Genomic DNA, 18,553 nt, shown 5'->3' with positions numbered 1-18,553 from the left:
AAATAACAAAGAGGTCTTAGATTCATTTCAGGATTAAATTTTAAATTCATTTTTGAAATAGGGCTTGAACATTTCTCTATTTTGTGAGTTCGGTCTTAAAAGGCTAGCTTTTCAGTTTATCCAGTTTTTAGTTAAATTATAGAAGAGTGACTTCAAATTTACCATACTCTGTATCGTGTATCTTTTCATTTCTTTAAATTTTGAGATGTTTCAGATTTATAGTAAAATGAAGAAAATAAGTAAAGCCTGTTATACATATTACTGGTTTACATTAATAAGAAATAGCATTAATGTAGTTTTATTTGTATCAGACTCTGTTTGAGGAAAAAAGTCATAGATACTTTTGAAGCAGCTTCCCTGTGTCACACATCTTCTTGGAGTTCTGCAGGCATCTCAAAGTGTTCAGAACTGAACCTATCCATTCAACTACTCTCCTCTTGTATTCTCACAACAGAAACCAAGAAATAACTCTCAAATTATCCATATTTCAAATCCCACATTCACTATCTCGGTTCAGGCTCCTATCACCCTTTAATTTGATGATTCATTGTTTAACTCTCCTAGCTGCACTTCCTACATCTAGTCTTGCCTTCAATCCTAGTCACTGAAGAGTGTTGTTGTTGTTTTTTTTTTCTACAACATCTCACACACTTTATCCCTAATAAAAACCCTTCTGTGCAGTCTATTACTCTTGGTGGCAGACAGAAACTCCTTAGGATGGCATGGGGTCTTTCATGATCTGACCTCTTTTACCTGCCCGCACTCCCTGACACTCATTCTCTCAGTCATGTTGAATCACTGTATTCCCCCAGGTCCCATTCTCTCTTTTGCCACTGATCATTTATACACATTGTTCCCTTTGCATGTAAACGCCTCTCTAATCTCGCCAATAGTTGTCTGACTGACTCCATTAGCTCTCAGTTTAGAGTTTTCCATACTAGGAAGATGTTACTGACCTGCCAAGTTTGGCCAAAGCATTCCTTTCCTGTATTCCTCTATCAACTTTGCATGTATTTATCATACTTTTCTTTAATGCCATGCATAGTTCTTGACATAATTTGAGTTGAATAATAGCTCAGAGGATAGCCAATGAGGTCATGACAGTCCAGAGAGGTCTAATTCAGAAGTTACCAAAAGTTACTAATCCTATGAATGTGTCACAGGAATAATTGTTTAATAATTTTGTTGAGCTGTAATTGACATATAATAAACTGAAATGTAAAGTACACAGTCTAATAAGCTTTTACAAATGAATACAGCTGTGAAACCAACATCATAATCAAGATAACAAACATCAATCACCCTCATTTGGGTTTTTCCACTTCTGTATTTCAAATAAAGCTATTATGAAACTTTGGTACAAGTATTACATGGATATGGATATTTAACTTAGGTAAATATCTAAGAGTGGAATAGTTGTATCATACATCTGATGTATGTTTAACTTTTTAATAAGCAAACTGTTTTCCAAACTCATTGTAGCCATTTACATACCTACAAGCAGTGTAAGAGAGATCCAGTTCCTCCACATTCTCACCAATTTTGGACAATATAATAGGTGTGAAGCAATTTCTCATTGTGATTTTAATTTGCATTTCCCCAATGTCTATTCATGTTGAGCAACTTTTTGTGTGTTTATTTTCCATCTGTATATTTTGTCTAATGAAGTGTGGTTCAAATCTTTTCTCTTATTTGATTGCTAATTTTCTTGTTATAGAGTCTTGATATTTCTTTACAAACCTTGCAGCACAAGTCCTTTATCAGGCAGGTAATCAGAAAATATTTTCTCTTGGTCTGTGGCTTGACTCTTTTCTTGTTCTTTTTAACTTTTTATAATGAAAAATTTCAAACTTACACATAGAATAATACCTGGGTGATAAAATAGTCTGTACAAGAAACCCTCATGACACATCTTTACCTATGTCACAAACCTTCACATGTACCCCAGAACCTGAAAAAGTTAAAAAAAGAAAAATTTTGATATAATGAAAACCAGATTTAGCAATTACAAAAACAACAATATTTTTCAAAATGCAGGTTCCATAATCATTTTTATAGTATGGGGCTAGCTGTCTTTGTTAAAATAAATTAGGAAACCTCAGAGCACTTTGCACAAAGGAATATTCATTCATTAAACTTTTATTTCACATACAGAGTCAAATGGGTGGACTTGATCCCAATAAAGAAAACCGTACTTCTTACTATGGATTGCTGTCATACATTTAAAAGAGACTGCAAACCCTTTGCTTTGGCAACTATTAAGGACCGGAAAGCATACAACAAACTTTCAGAGATGAGTTTTAGTTAAAGAAAGCTTAAAGTTGAGTTACAAAATAAAACCTATAGTATTAGAAATGCTTATGTAGAATAATGCCACAAATTGTTTTTTTAACAATTTAGAAGCCCTAACTAACTTTCTTTGTTCACATTTGCATATGAAATCCCATCCCCTTAGAATCTAGGACAGCTCCCCATAATCAACCATTAATATATCAATCAGCAGTAAATTGTATACATATTAAGCGTGAAAAATAAAGATTATGAAAAGCCTAGTGTTAGATCTTGCCACCAAATTTGAATAAAATACTTTTGGCTTTCAGATTTTTGTACTCTGACTTGTGAATAAGAGACTGTGGCCTGGGGTATGTTAACAGTAGGTAGGGTGGAAGTGGGGTAAAAGAGGAAGGCAGGTGGGCCGGCACTTTGGCATATTTCCTCTTCATAAGCAGATAACAGTGACAGGAACACTGGCTACTGAGTGTCATCCAATATTCTTTTTCTTTTTCTTTTTTTTTAACACACTTGAAGAAGTCACAGGAACTTATTTTTAAAAGCTCTTTGGAAGAAAGCAAATCATTTTCTGGGCACCCTTAAATCCAGAATGGGGGACAGGGATGAGGAAACAGTATCAGGGTCCTGTCCTGTTCTACACATTTTACATTTAATACTCCTAACCCCTCCTAACAATGTAATTCTCATTTTACAGATGTTGAATCTGAGGCAGAGAAGAAACTAAGCTAGGCAGCAGGGCCTGAGAACTAATTTCCGCCCACATGATGGGGAAGGGGCAGGGCTTGTGATTTGAAAGCCAAGTCAAAAACTGAAGGTATGGCTCCTCTCTTAGCAGTATCTTTTAAAGAGCAAAAATTCCTAACTATGTTTATCAATTTTTAATTTTGTGGATTGTGCTATTGTTATTATATTTAAAAAACTGTTTTTGAACTCACAATCACAAATATTTATTCCTATGTTTTCTTCTAGAAGTCTTAAGTTTTAAGACTTTTACAGTTTTAAGTTGTACCTTTAAGTTTATTATCCTTTTTGGATTGGTTTCTGTATGTGGTGCATGGTATGAACTGAAGTTCATATTTTTGCATATGGATATCCAATTTTTTCAGCACTATTTGTTAAAATGACTATCTTCTCTTCACAAGATTGCCTGTGGATCTTTGTCAAAAATGGATTGAAGATCAATGTGTAGGTCTATTTCATTGCATTAATCTGTCTATTTTGATGCCATTACCATACTGTTTTGATTTCTGTAGCTGTATAATAGATCATGAAATTAAAAAGTGTTAGTCCTCCAACTTTGTTATTCTTTGTCAAATTTTGTTTATACTAGATCTCTTGCATTTTTATATACATTTTAGAAACAGTTTATTAATTTCTGCAAAAGCTCATTTGGATTTTGACTGGATTGTGATGAATTCTAGAAAAATTTACAGTCTGATCTATAAGCATAGCATGGTACATCTTTCCATCTATTTAGGTCTTTTAAATTTCTCTCAATAATTTTATAGATTTCCGTGTCATGTGCATGTATTTTATCAGATCATCCATAAGTATTCTGTATTTTATGATGTTGTAAATATATTATTTTATTAATTTCAGTTTTTGTTGCTACTATATTGAAATAGAATTGTTCTTTTTGTATATTGGTCTTATATCTTGCAACCTTATAAAACTCATATGTTACTTACTGTAACTTTTCCTGTAGATTCCATGAGATTTTCTATATATATATGATCATGTCTTCAAATAAAAACTTTTGTTTTTTTCTCTCCTGTCCATCTACTTATTTCATTTTTTTATTTTTAATTTTTGTGGGTACATAGGGCATATATCTATATATTTATGAAGTACATGAGATGGTGTGACATAGGCATAAAAAGTGTAATAATTACATCAGGATTAATGGGGTATACATCCCCTCAAGCATTTATGCTTTCTTTGTGTTGCAAACAATCCAATTATACTCTTTTAGTTTTTTAAAAATATACTCTATGTACTTTTAATTTTTGCTATTTGCCTTACTATACCAGCTGTCACCTCCAATGTAATATTAAACATAGATGGTGATAGCAAACATCCTTGCTTTGTTTTCTTTCACCATTAGGTATGATTTCATTTCAGCTACACATTTTCATAGGGACCATTATCGGGTATCCCTTCAAGAACAGAAATTCCCTTCTATTCTCAGTTTGTTGAGAAGTTTTGTTTTTTTCTTTTTTAAATCATGAAAACATGTTAGATTTTGTCAAATACTTTTTCTGCATCTATTGAGAGGATTATATTTTTTTCTTCTTTTAGTACTATTTATTTAATTTCCCCATATTTAGAGATCTACTTGATAGCCTTTCACTATTTGCTCATAATTTAATTTCATTATTGTTAAATAATACAATTTGCATGACTTGAATCTGTTTGTATTAGTTGTGACTTGATTTATTGACCAGGATAAAGTTTTCATATCATTTATAAAAATCTTCATGAATGTCTCACACGCACATGAAAAGATTGTGCATTCTGTTGTTGTTAGGTGGAGTAATCTATAAATACCAGTTCCGGCCGGGCGCGGTGGCTCATGCCTGTAATCCCAGCACTTTGGGAGGCCGAGGCGGGCGGATCACGAGGTCAGGAGATTGAGACCATCCTGGCTAACACGGTGAAACCCCGTTTCTACTAAAAAAAAAAAATACAAAAAATTAGCTGGGCATGTTGGCGGGCACCTGTAGTCTCAGCTACTCTGGAGGCTGAGACAGGAGAATGGCGGGAAACTGGGAGGCGGAGCTTGCAGTGAGCCGAGTTCGCGCCACTGCACTCCAGCCTGGGCGACAGAGCGAGACTCTGTTTCAAAAAAAAAAAAAATATATATATATATGTATATACACACACACATATCAGTTCCATCAAGTTGACTTAAAGTGTTTTTCAAGTCTTCAGTATCTGTACTAATTTTCCATCTTGTTCAAACAATTATTGAGAGAGGAATGTTGAAATCTTCGACTGCAATTGTAGATTTGTCTACTTATTTTAATTCTATTAGCTTTTGTTTTATTTACTTTGATATTGTGTTAGCAGGTGTGTAAATATTTAGGATGTTGATGTCCTTCTCCTGAATTGATCCACTTTATCCCTGGTTTTATGCTTTACTCTGAAATCTACTTTTTCTGATATTAATATAGGAACTCTAGCTTTCTTTTACATACTTTTTTTTTTTTTGAGATGGAGTCTAGCTGTGTTGCCCAGGCTGGGGTGCAGTGGCATGCTCTTGTCTCACCACAACCTCCACCTCTCAGGTTTAAGCAATTCTCCTGCCTCAGCCTCCCAAGTAGTTGGGATCATAGGTGTGAGCCACTACACTGGGCATTCTTTTAGTTATTTTTATCTTTTTTTAATCTTTATATTCAAAGTTGGTTTTTGTTGGCAAAAATAAGGTTAGGTCTTGATTTTTATCTATTTTTACAATCATTTTTAAAAAATCCATATATTTAAATCTTTTCTGTTAAATGTAGTTATTGATATGGTTGGCTTTAAATCTATTCCCTTCTATTTGTTTTCTATTTGTCCATTCAGTTTGGGTTGTTCTGTCCTCTTTTTCTGCCTTGTTTTGATTGAATATTTTTCATTATGGTAAAATATATGTAACATAAAATTTATCATTTTAACTATTTATTATATATTTTATATAGATATAGATATAGTTCAGTGACATTAAGTATATTCACATCATTGTGCAATCATCACAATTATTGGTCCCTTGACCCTTCTTGCTTGTGTATTTTTATAATTAATTTTTTCTTATTTGTGGGTTCATTAGCTACAACTAATTGTTGTATTATGTTATTTTGGTGATTGCTTTAGGGTTTAAAGAATACATAATTTAACTTCTCATGATATACAACCAAATAATATCACATCATATAAAGTATAAAAACCTAAAACGGTATACTTTCATTTCTTCACTTTGAATTATGGTGGTCATCCCATCCACTCTACATGTGTTATAATCCTACAATATATTGTTACCGTTTTTCCTCTAAATATTTGATTCTCTTTTGAAGAAATTTAAATGACAAGAAAAATACCTTCTACTTTCCCATGTAGTTACCATTTTCAATGTTCTTAATTTCTTTGTGTAGCTCCAGATTTTCCTATGGTATCATTTTCATTCTGCCCCATGGACTTTCTTTAACATTTTTTTGCGGTGCAAGTTTGCTGGTGATTTATTCTTTCAGCTTGTCTATGCATGGAAAAGGTCTTTACCTTTATTTTGAAATGTATTTTTTTCTAGGTAAAAGTTCTAGTTTAACAAGATTGTTTCCCCTTAATAGTTAAAAAATATTGTTCTGCTCTCGTTTGCATGACTACTGACAAAAATCGGCTGTCATCCTTATCCTTATTCTCCTGTTCACGTATCTTTTTTTCTCTAGCTGCTTTAGACTTTTTCACTTTATCACTTGTTTTAAGTAATTCAATAAAGATTTTCTTTTTTGTACCTTTTTCCTATTTCTTTACTCAAGGGTTATTGAACTTTTAAGATATGTGGATTCATAGTTTAGCCCTTTATTCTACAAATATATCACCCAATCTTTTCCTTCATAGACTCCAATTATACATCTATTTGGCTGCTTAAAATTATCCTAAGTTAACTGAAGTTTGTTCACTTTTTTCAATGTGTCACATTTTGGGAAATTATTATTCCTATGTCTTTAAGTTCACTAATCTTCTCTTTTGCAATAACTAATCTGCTATTATTTCCATCCACTGTGTTTTATCAGACATTGTAATTTTTGTCTCTAATAGTTCTATTAAGGTCTTTTGTATATCTTCCATGTAGCTAGTTAACATGTTTAATCTTTTTTTGTAACTTCTTGAACATATGGAATAAATTACAACTCTTTAATATTCTTGTCTTCTGATTCTATCATCTGTGTCATTTATGGGTCAGTGACAATTGATCTATTTTTCTTTTCTTTTTTTTTTTGAGACAGAGTCTCACTGTGTCACTGAATCGCCCAGGCTGGAATGCAGTGGCGCGATCTCGGCTTATTGCAACCTCGCCTCCCGGGTTCAAGCGATTCTCCTGCCTCAGCATCCCAAGTAGCTGGGACTACAGGTGCCTGCCACCACACCCAGCTAATTCTTGTAATTTTTTTTTTAGTAGAGACAGGGTTTCACCATGTTGGTAAGGCTGGTCTCAAACTCCTGACCTCATGATTCGCCTGCCTCAGCCTCTCAAAGTGCTGGGATTACAGGCGTGAGCCACCACACTTGGCCTGCATTTTAGTTTAAGGTTAATTTTTCTCACTACTGAGGTAAGATCATTGTTAGTACTTTAACTAATTATTCCTAAAGTATGCTTTCCTTTAATTATTAGGGACAATATATCCAGCCCTATGTGAGCTTAGGCACTATTTCTTCTAATCTTTTGCAATGACTCTTTTTCTAGCCATGGGTAGTTTCTTTATATTCATGTTCAGGTCAGTATTCAGCAGAGTTCTCCTGGAATACCCTCTACAGATCTCTGGGGTTCTCCTTCCCTGAAGCTCTCTCCTGTACTGTATTTCTCACTGTAAACTATAGCTTTGTTGACATCCCTGAAGTTTCAGCTCTAAGACTTTAATCAAAGAGAATGCAGAGCTCTGTCTAGGTTCCCCTTGTCTGTGTCATTTCCTAAAGTTACCCAGTCAGCAAGCCAGAGTGGTCATTTGGTTTCTCTCACTTGTTTCCCATCTTAGTTGTGTTTAATTAAATTGAATTTGTCTTAAAGATGCCTCTATACTTTGAATTCGTACATAGTGAACTACAACCTAACTTAGTATATAAACAAACTGCAACCTAACTTAAGAATGTGTTCTTATAACAAGTAACTGAGTTTCAGCCAATCGCAGGCTGCTGACTGAGCAGACCATGTCCATATAAGGCAAATGCTGAGCTGTAACCAATCAAGTTGTTTTGGTAAGTCCTTTTTTCTATCTGAAAATACCACCTGCCCCCCTTGCTGGGTGAAGAGCTCTGAATCTCTCCTGGTTAAACGTGCTGCCTGTTTCATGAATCATTATTTGCACAAATAAACTTTGCTAAATTTAGTAAGTCTAAAGCTTTTTTCTCTTAACAGTTATCATGATCCTTCATTATCTGAGACCATTTTTTTGAATGACACTGTTTCATATATTTTTTCACTTTTTACTTGTTTCATTCAGGAGGATAAATCCACTCCCTGTTATTTCATATTTTCCAGAAGTTCAGGATATATTTTGTTTTTAAAGTTTTCTAGGTGTTTCTTACTGTAATCAATTACGGAGGCAGCATGCCTATAAAATAAAATGGAATGAATTGATAAATATATGTTGATATGGATTCAGCTATGAGAAAAAAAACTTTGTCAGAGTCACTTATTCCCAATGCAAGAGGGCAAGTGCTTCAGAATATTTTGAGAGACGGAAGACAAAGGGAGTCTTCTTGAACTCTGATCAATTCAGTATTAGGCAGCTTTTGCTTTATAACTTCTTTTCGTCTTACAAAGTAATATCTTTCACACATGAGAAGGGTTTCTTAGTATGACAGTATATTCACTCCCTTAAGATTAGCTGTCTCTAACCATTTTGGCACCAGGCCCAGTTTCACGGAAGACAATTTTTCCATGGATGGAGGAGGGGAGTAGCTTCAGGATGAAACTGTTTCGCTTCAGATTATCAGGCATTAGCTAGATTCTCATAAGGGGCCCGTAATCTAGATCCCTTGCATGCGCAGGTCACAAGAGGGTTTGGCCCCTCTGAAAAACTAATGCTGCCACGGAATTGACAGGAGGCGGAGATCAGGTGGTAATGCTCACTCACCTGCCCCTCACCTCCTGCTGTGCAGCCTGGTTCCTAACACGACATGGACCGGTTCCCATCCATGGCCTGAGGGTTGGGGACCCCTGCTTTAGATAACAAGCCAGAGGCTGAGTGTGCTTTTTCTCACTTATAGAGGGGAGAAAAGGATCACATTTCAAAACAATTCTCAGGTATCTATCCCCACCTTCTTTCTTCCTCTTCCTTGGGATTCATAGGTGGTAGGAACTTTCCATTAACATATATTTGGTATGTGATAATAAAATGATTCCTGGTTGCTCTTTGTTAGTGGGGGGAAACCAAATATTCAGCATTCATAATCTGAGTCAGGGGCAACAACTTTACCAACAAAGATAAAGTTGTTATCATAAGATGATAAGATTCTAGACAGGGAAGCTATTGGTGGACTAAAAGTAGCAGAATGAATAAAAGAGATATGACAAAGGGCACTGTCCCAAGACTTGATCATTGGAGTTTAATTGAGTATTTTTTTAATGAAAGGGAGGAGGCAGAAACCTAGGACCTGGACTCTGGCTGATAGGGAAGAATATAGGGACTCTGGACAGAATTGAAGAAGGTGGAAGGTAAGATGACTTAATATATACTGTGTGCTCACCTCAGCAACATCAAAGCCATATAAATGACATTCAATTCATTTTCTTAGCAGAAATCAGCAAGCACTGACTGATCCCCTATTGTGTGTAGAACCCTTGGAAGAATTACTATAGGAAAGACAATGATATACAAAACAAGGCCTCTACCCTGCGAAAGTTAGAATAGAGCTGAAAGTACTCATCCAGTAAGACAGCTGAGGCACATTCCAAACTGGCATATTTATAATAAGTTAACACTGAAAAATAAACAGGAACATGTACAACATTCCAGGTACTTTACCTCATTTAATTTTCATGGTTACTCTATGAGGTGGCTGTTAACATTATGCCCATTTTACAAATGAAGTTGCGATGCAGATAGTGTAAGTAACTTACCTACTAACATGTAGCTAGTAAGTGGAAGAGCCAGGATTCAAACTTAAAGAGTCTGACTTTGAGGCCTTACCTCTTTCTGTAGTCATTGCCTATCACAAAGGGATATCAGACATAATATTTTACTCTTCAAGATGAGGACTTTGATTGTGTTAAGTTGTAATAAGCATTCTTGCTTATGTCTTATGTCCTCTCTTAAATGAATTTCTCTGGCCTAGAAAATGCCCAGTTAGAAGGAAAATCCTTGGGCAGCTGCAGCAAACTAGGGAAGCTCAATAGGTTTTTTGAGAGGGTGCCCATATGTGTACAACTCCTCCGTCAAAAAATAAGTCCCATGGAAGAGTCTATTTTATGCTTCATAGTACTCCCATTATTTAGAATAGTGCCTGGCACATAGTAGCTGCTTAGTAAACACTCAATCAAATGAGTGACTTTGGAGAAGCTAGTCTGGGTTGAAGAAAATTCAAAACAACTCTGCCCGTGCTGGCTTCCCTTTTCTCCCCAAAGTCTCCATCACATGTCATCCATCTGGGATCCTGGTCTATTGAAGAGTTGCACAATACAGAAATGCATTAGTTTGCAGGAGAACTAGTTTTTTCTCATACATAAGGCCACCTAGGGACACTCAGTGTGGCCTCACATTGCCCTGAGGTTGGCCCTGCCCCAGGCATAGTGAAGGCAGCGTTGCTGAGTTGCGGGAAGCATTGGAAATAGCAGCCGTAATTCTTGGACCTGAGCCCATCCTAATCCTTCCCCATTGGATCAAATTTCCCAGTAGAGAACAAATAAGATAGCTCCAATACGCCCAAGTACTACCTTAAAATTCACACACTTGACCTGATTATTTGCTTCCTGCTTCACAAAAAAAGTTTTCTGTAGACAAAATGACAAATTTTACTCTTGTCACCCTTGCTAAAAATGTCCTTATGCAGGTAACCACCAGATTTCCAGTCCAGTTTTCAACTGCCTTGCTCAAAAGAATATATAAACTCATAGAAGACCAGGACTCTAGCTATGAAACCCATTCTCCCGCATCATACATAAGGAAGCATTTAATATGTGCTTAATGGTGATAATAATTTACATTTTGGCATGGACCTAACAGGATGCTACTGTAGAAAGTGCTGAGCAGAATTTGATTCCCTCACACATATAACAGTTTGGCAGCCAGGACAGGAAGGAGTGGTATGCCTGGGAACCAGGAGTCACAAGCTCAAACAGAGAAAAGGTTTATGTTTGTACCTGGCCATGGATGACCACAGAAATTATGGGTACAGTACAATAACTCCATCTCCTTGTATTGCAGATGCAAAAGTCTTTTCAGGTAAATATTTTCTTTTACATCAATACCACAGAATAGCCTAACATATAGACCCAGGCATGGAGTAACTGGAATTCTAGTGTATGAAGAATCAGGTTGTTTACTTAATGGTGCATTAAAAAAAAATCAACCTAACCTAACCTCACTATTTAGGCTTGCCACACTGTTAAATTTTTTAGAATATTTATTTAATTTTATCATTCAGCCATTTATTCAGAGAACAAGTCTCTATTAATAAATTGTTCTGTGGTCTATGCTTTGAGAGACATGTAAGATGTAGAATCTAAGGTCCCTGGACTTAAATTTATAACCAACACAGACCGAGTGAAAGATATACTCTGGGATTCATATGTGTAAACCACAAATAGACAATAATTAAAGAGTAGTATTATATTTATCATAAACCAAGATTAAATCGTTTATTTAGATAAATTCAGACATTCTGATGGAATGCACTTTTCTAAACGTGTGCATAAATTTAACCCATGTCTAACCCATCACTCAACTGCATGCTGTTCAAAGACATCACTAACTTGAGTGTGATTTAGGACCTCATGCACAAAGCAGCTACTATACTCCAGATGTTCAGGAATTCAGTGACACCTGATGAAATGAGATGGTTGTTTTCCCTCCCTCCCTTCTTTGCTACTTTCCTTCTCCACTTTTATGGAGCACCTACTTGCTATAAAATACTATGGTTGGTGATAGGAATTCAAAGACAAATAAATGTCCCCTGCTCTGCTTGAGCTCAGGATTGAGTACAAAAACCTCACAAGTAAACATATAACTGCAATATGAGGTAAGTAGGGCTGAGATTTGAATTAAATATCTAGGGGTTCGAGGGAGAAAAAGTTATTTATTTTAAGAAAATACAGTGTGGTTATAACTTTTTTTTTTTTTTTTTTGAGATAGAGTCTTGCTCTGTTGCCCAAGATAGAGTGCAGTGGCATGATCTTGGCTCGCTACAACGTCCACCTCCTGGGTTCAAGCAATTCTCCTACTTCAACCTCCTGGGTAGCTAGGACTACAGGCACCTGCCAGCATGCCTGGTTAATTTTGTATTTTTAATAGAGATGGGTTTTTGCCATGCTGTCCAGGCTGGTCTCAAACTCTTGACCTCAGGCCCACCTCGGCCTCCCAAAGTGCTGAGATTCCAGGCATGAGCCACCGCACCCAGCCAGTGGTTGTGGCTTTTAAGGAAAGGGTTGCATAGCCAGTATGGTTGTTGATCAGTCCTTAGCTAAGGGAATGGTAGAGGTAACAGGTGCTCTTACTGACCAATAATATCAGGGCACCTTACATAGTAATGGAATACAAAAGAGAGAATGCTATATTATTATAAATCTCCTTCTTTTCAAAATAACTTTATTGAAATATAGCTCATATACCATGTATTTCACCCATTTAAAGTGTAAAGTTCAATAGTGTTGTACAATCATACTCACCATAAACTTTAGAACATTTTTATCATCTAAAAAGAAACTCCATATTCTAGCTATCACTCTCTTATTCCCCCAGCCCTAAGCAACTGCTTATCTACTTTCTGTCTCTAAATATTTCCCTGCTTTGGAAGATTCAGATCAATATAATCTTAAAATATTTGGTATTTTATCACTGCTTTCTTTCACTTAGGATAGATAATGTTCTCAGGATTCATTCACATTAATGCAGCATCTAACATTATTTCCTTTATGTAGCCAAATATAATATCCTCTGTATGTGTGTACCACATTTCGTTTATTCATTCACTGGTTGATGAATATTGGGCTTTTTCCACATAAATCTACTTCTGACTTTGACCCTGGTTGGGAGAATCAAGCAAGGAATAAAACCAATCAGGCCATGGCCTTGCATTAGAAATTCTGTCACTGGCTATGGAGCTGCAAAGTCTTCCAACCCAGGAGAGAAGAAATACACTACTTATTGTATCACCTTCTAAAACACAAAGAAAGCATCCAATAATTTCCAAGAAGTACTATTAAGTAATTCATTAACCAAAAAGCCACTTGAAGATTTTTGGTTTCTATCTCTTTTCAAGGTCACAGTATGTGTTAAAGATGAGGAAAGAGGGAGTAGAGATTAAAAGCTAAAAGAGAATCTTTTACTAATCCCCATATTCGTGATATAAAGACTACTGTTCCTATCACACTCAACAGTTCTCCCCATGGGTCACAAGGGGCCCCCATTTGGGGATCGATACTAAGTAGTGGAGACTGAACTAGCTATCACTAAAGATGGAGAGGATTTGGCTTCAACTCCTGCTGTAGTCCTCCTTAGCTGTGTGTCCTTGGACACATCACCTACTAAACTAGGCTTTGGGTTTCTCATTAGTTAAGTGAACTACTGTTACACAGTCTGCATGTTTTGCTAGGATAATATACGTGAAAGTTCTCTGTAAAGGACAGACTATAAAAATATCAACAAGTGTTATCAGCTCCAAATTTAGTTAAATTATTACATTTCTTCTCTGGGCTCATGCATGCAAGAAAGACTATCATTTAACAAAGGTAGAAATGAGAGTTCAAAAGGTTTCTAATAGCTCTTTAAAATCCTTTGTGACTGGACCCTCAAGTAAGCAAATCGAATGGGCCTACAATGTGTACCGCAGTCTTCTAGAGTTTGGAGGAAGCTTACAAGAACATCTGTCTTGTCTCTGTATCAACACAATTTACTAGCATGAGGACACCCAGAGAAGAACAAGCTGTAGGATGCATGAACTCATTTTCTAGAGGTAAACAATCTTCAAAGGGATAAGAAGCCTTCTAGTTTTGGAAATAATCAAAGAAAATAGAAGAAGAAAGAACCTCCTGTCTTAGCCTATGAATGAAAGCATTTATCATGAGGTCTTAAATAAGATAAATTGTCCTAGTTAATTTCAATTTCATTAGAACTTCACAATCTAAGCTGTATTAGAAAGATCACTTGGCATTATAAAATGAAAATGGCCACCTTGCTTCTCCCTTCCAGAGAAGGTAAGTGTATACTATTTTAGGGAAACTAGAGAAGGACTTGTACAATTTCTCAGGGAATCTTGACACATCTGTGTAACCATTGAAGGCTAGAACCGGAATATGGCATAGCAATAATATAGCTCATGTCTCCAAACCATTCCCCACCTACCACATATCCCATACTGTTTCATAGAAGAGGCAACTAAGGACTGAGGAAGTGGCTGGTCCAATGTTACACAGATAAGTTAGCAGGAGACTTAGAACTTGAAATCTGGTTTTCTGATTCTCTATCAAAAGCCCTTTTAACCTCTGATTCTTTATCAAAAGCCTTTTAACTAAATTCTCTTTATTGACTGATTCAAGCTACGTAACCAAGAGTCATCTCAAATGTTGTATTTCTCTTAGAATTCATATTTTAGAGTCTATGAATCATATATTCCATTCTCCTGTATCTTAGATGAAGCAATTAAGGATTAGAAACATTAAGAAATTCTTCAAAGTCATATGCATAGAGAGTGATGAGCTAGGAACAGAACAGAACCAATCTCTTTTTTTGTTTCCTTTTTTTTTTTTTTTCCAGTATTTGTCCCATCACAGTGCCATTTTCTCTCCTAAATCTTTTAGCCATGTCAGTGTTTGAAACTTTCTGTCTTTTCAGGGTGTGACTAGGGCCTATGATCACCCCAAGGAAGCTAACAAACACTAGAATGCCATGCCGGGATCACTGTTGCTTCTTTACTCCCACTTGAAAAAGTGCAATATGGTCTTTGACATTAGGCGTCTTTAGGCTTTTCTGTGATGTTACTTATGAATGAATAGGACTGAAAATGCAGTTAAAAAACTCCTTGAATGTTAAATCAATTTGGGTAACTGATTATATCTTCCCTTTCTAGATTTTAACTTGAGGACAGAAATGTGGTAAAATCAATACCTAACACATTTTTGATGTATTGAATGAATGCACTTCTCTGGACAAAGCCACGTCCTAGTTCTAGTCCATGTAATATGATGCTTTATAAAAAGCGCTTTCAATAGAAATATGCAACATTGGTATCTGAAAACCTAGGATAATACATACCAATTTAACAAACTAAATAGCCTGATCTCTTTTTTTATGAGCTCTTCCAGTTTGAATTTAATGGAAGAACATCAGTGATGAAAAATGAATGCAATTTTAAAAGTTTATTCAGTTTGATTAACATAGGCAAGATAACTTAAAAACAAAGCAAAATCTCTCCAATCACTTTGACCTCTGGGGTCATCATTTTTTCATGCTCTGGTAAAATTTAGCCCTATGTTTTAAATTTATTGACCTTCCTCAGTCTAGCTATAGCTTTCTCTCTTCTCCCTCAGCACCCTCTGCATACTTCTACCCCAGGACTTCCATGTGCTTTACTTGCTCATCTCTCCAACTACCGTGAGACCCTGAGAGCAGGGATTTAGTCTTGTTCAGTTATCCATCTTCTGTTCTTATCACACAGACAAAGAGATGGCTTGGGCTCAGCAGGCATTTATTGATTGAATAAATGTTTGTATAAACAAGTGAATAAATAAATATCACCAGTTATAATAACAAACAAGAAATGACTATAAATGTATTTCTAATTGCTAGAATATGAACAGAAGTACGTATTTATGTGTACTTATGGTAGCTCATTCTCAAATCATAACCCAAAAAATCGAAATCTCATAAGAAAGAGCATAACAAAAAAGGCCAGAAAAAAATACTGTAACATAGCATTCAGTTTTCATCAAACTTTAGAAATACAAACTCTCCAACATTTGGTGAATCAGAGACAGATAATGGTCCAATCTCAGCCAAACAGTGCTATTAAAAACACAAACAACTGAACTGCAAGTACATTCCAATTTCCCTTGTGATTCCAATTAAGATCACATCAATTAAATACACTTATGATTTTGTATCGTGGAGTTCTTGAAAATTGCCTAAAATTCAAGTTGACATTTTCTCCCTTCTCTGATAAGGAAGGAACATGATTGCATCACATTGATTGCATATTTAGCTCTCAAAGCAGCTGCACAAACATTATAAGCAATATAGCAAAACAAAAAAAATGTGTAGAGGCTAGCATCAAAGGACGCATTTTTGAGCATGTTATGGATGGTTGATTCTAATTGAGAGATGACTCAGAAATATGGATCCAGCAGAGAAATGGGCACTGCAGGAGAGAATGGAATGACTATAAATCCCCCCACCCCCACACACACCAAATCCTAACATCAGACTCTTTGTTCATAGAACCTTAAATGAACTTTCCTAGTGACAGGTAGTGACAGCATCACCACTTCAAGCAGAGTGAACACATTTCTCCAATGCCAGGCTGCCCAGGGCATCACCTCTGGAAGGAGTGTGAGTAGGGTTGGGCAATTGCTTGTTAAACATCTCTGGGAGAGAGGTCAGATTTCTACCGTTACTGTCTTCTTACCCTTCAGAAGAACTCACAAAATACCCGAACGATCTTTAAAATAGCCTAGCATGACTTCCTAGTGATGGCGATCACAAATGGTAACCTAGGTTCACCTATCTGCCTGTGTGTTAACAAATGATAAGAGCTTTAGCTATGGAGCCAGACTTTAGCTGAAAATGCTGGCTCTGCATCAATCTAAATGGAATGACCTTGAGTAACTTATTTCACCTCTCTGTGCTTTGTTTCCTCCTTTATAAAATGGAGAAGAGTACTGTAACTGTCATAGAGTTGATTTGAAAGTTAAACACAATAATGCACATAAAGTATTCCAGGAGTATAGTTATTCCTCAATAAAGGATAGCTGTGATCATTACTGCTTTCACATGTTGTTGTGGCTATTTTTCTGTTATCAGATAGATCTATGCATTATCGGTTTGAGGAGTGCTCTTAAAAAATGAAACCTGTCCCCAGTCTGCAGTCTTCCCTGCTTGCTAATAATGCTGCCAAGAGATGCCCCAGAATTGTAGGTAGGGCTAACAGTAGTCCCCTGTATAAACCAATAAAATGCATTTTCTCAGATAAATAAATGTCGGTTGGGTTCCCAGATAAATACACAGAATTTGCCTTAAAGTGCCCATATGGTGACTAAAAATGGTACACGCATAGTGAAAAAATGATATATTGCTATAAATACCCAGTACAGAATTTCAACTACCTTTGGTTTAAATAGACTTTTGGGAGCTAGTTCACAAACCTGCATAATATTATTATTTTGGATTGCAGGTAAAAATTGATTTGTAAGGAACTTTTGGGGTGTGCTTTTTCTATGTACCTAATGCAGCAAGGTGGGCAGGATAAAGAGAATATCTGCATTTTACAGAGGAGGAGTCAACTAAGATCAAGCGAGCCTGTCCCTATGGCAAAGTTTCAGGGATAGACACAATACCAGTACTCCAGGTCCAGACAAGATCTCTCTGAGATCTCAGCCTTGAGATAAGGGAGCTTCAGGTACACACTTCTTTCATTGCTCTTCTAGAATGTCCTCCCCACATCTACCTCATTCTCTCTGCTACACCTTGTTTCTGTTGCCCTTCAAAATGTAGTCTAAGAAAAAAAACAAAGAGAAGAGAAGAATGAAAGGAAAGCCAGTGCAATGTTAGCTGTGGTTTTTCTCTGTGAGACTGGGTTCCTGGTAATGCTCATTTTCTTCTTTGTGCTTCTCTATATAATCCATTTTTTTTTGGAATAAACATGTTATAGGATATAGTAAGTATATCATTATTTTTTAAATTGTTTTACAAATGCAGCACAAATTCAACCATTTCATAAAGTCTTTCTGAATTAGCTCCATTCATCTCTAATCACTCCATTCATTCAGAGCTGATGGATGTGGCTCTTGACAATTTGTACATACTCTTCCTTTCTATTTCTATTCCTTTCCTTTCTCCCTCCCTCTCTTTCTCATTCTCTTTCTTTTTTTCCCTTAAATTCCTATTACATAACAGCTTCTGTGCCAAGAAATTTAAAAATCACAGTAGTGGTAATGAACATAAAATTCAAATAATACCAAGGTTCATAGAGTAAAAGTTAAGTTAAAATATTCTTCTCCCTTTATTTTTAAATCCAATTCTTCTCTACCTATAGGTTGTAATGGTTAAGTTTGGTACATAATTTTAAATCTTTCATATGTAAATACATATGTGTATATGTTATGTATTTGTATGTACGTATGTTGTTTTGTTTTTGT

The 18,553-nt window shown here is 35.9% G+C and overlaps 1 annotated feature.

Annotated features, from left to right (window-relative positions):
• Positions 7,268 to 7,424: a silencer, noted in NCBI's record as "fragment chr1:221750608-221750764 (GRCh37/hg19 assembly coordinates)". NCBI's record gives its function as "represses an EF-1alpha promoter that drives an FKBP-Casp9 reporter gene in an ReSE screen in phorbol 12-myristate 13-acetate-treated (for megakaryocytic differentiation) K562 erythroleukemia cells {active_cell/tissue: K562(+PMA)}" and the evidence as "EXISTENCE:reporter gene assay evidence [ECO:0000049][PMID:32094911]".

Source organism: Homo sapiens, chromosome 1, assembly GCF_000001405.40.
Source record: "Homo sapiens chromosome 1, GRCh38.p14 Primary Assembly".
In the NCBI taxonomy this organism is placed as follows: Eukaryota; Metazoa; Chordata; class Mammalia; order Primates; family Hominidae; genus Homo; species Homo sapiens.
The sequence above is the reverse complement of the archived record's forward strand: the minus strand, read 5'-3'. Positions and strand labels throughout refer to the sequence as shown.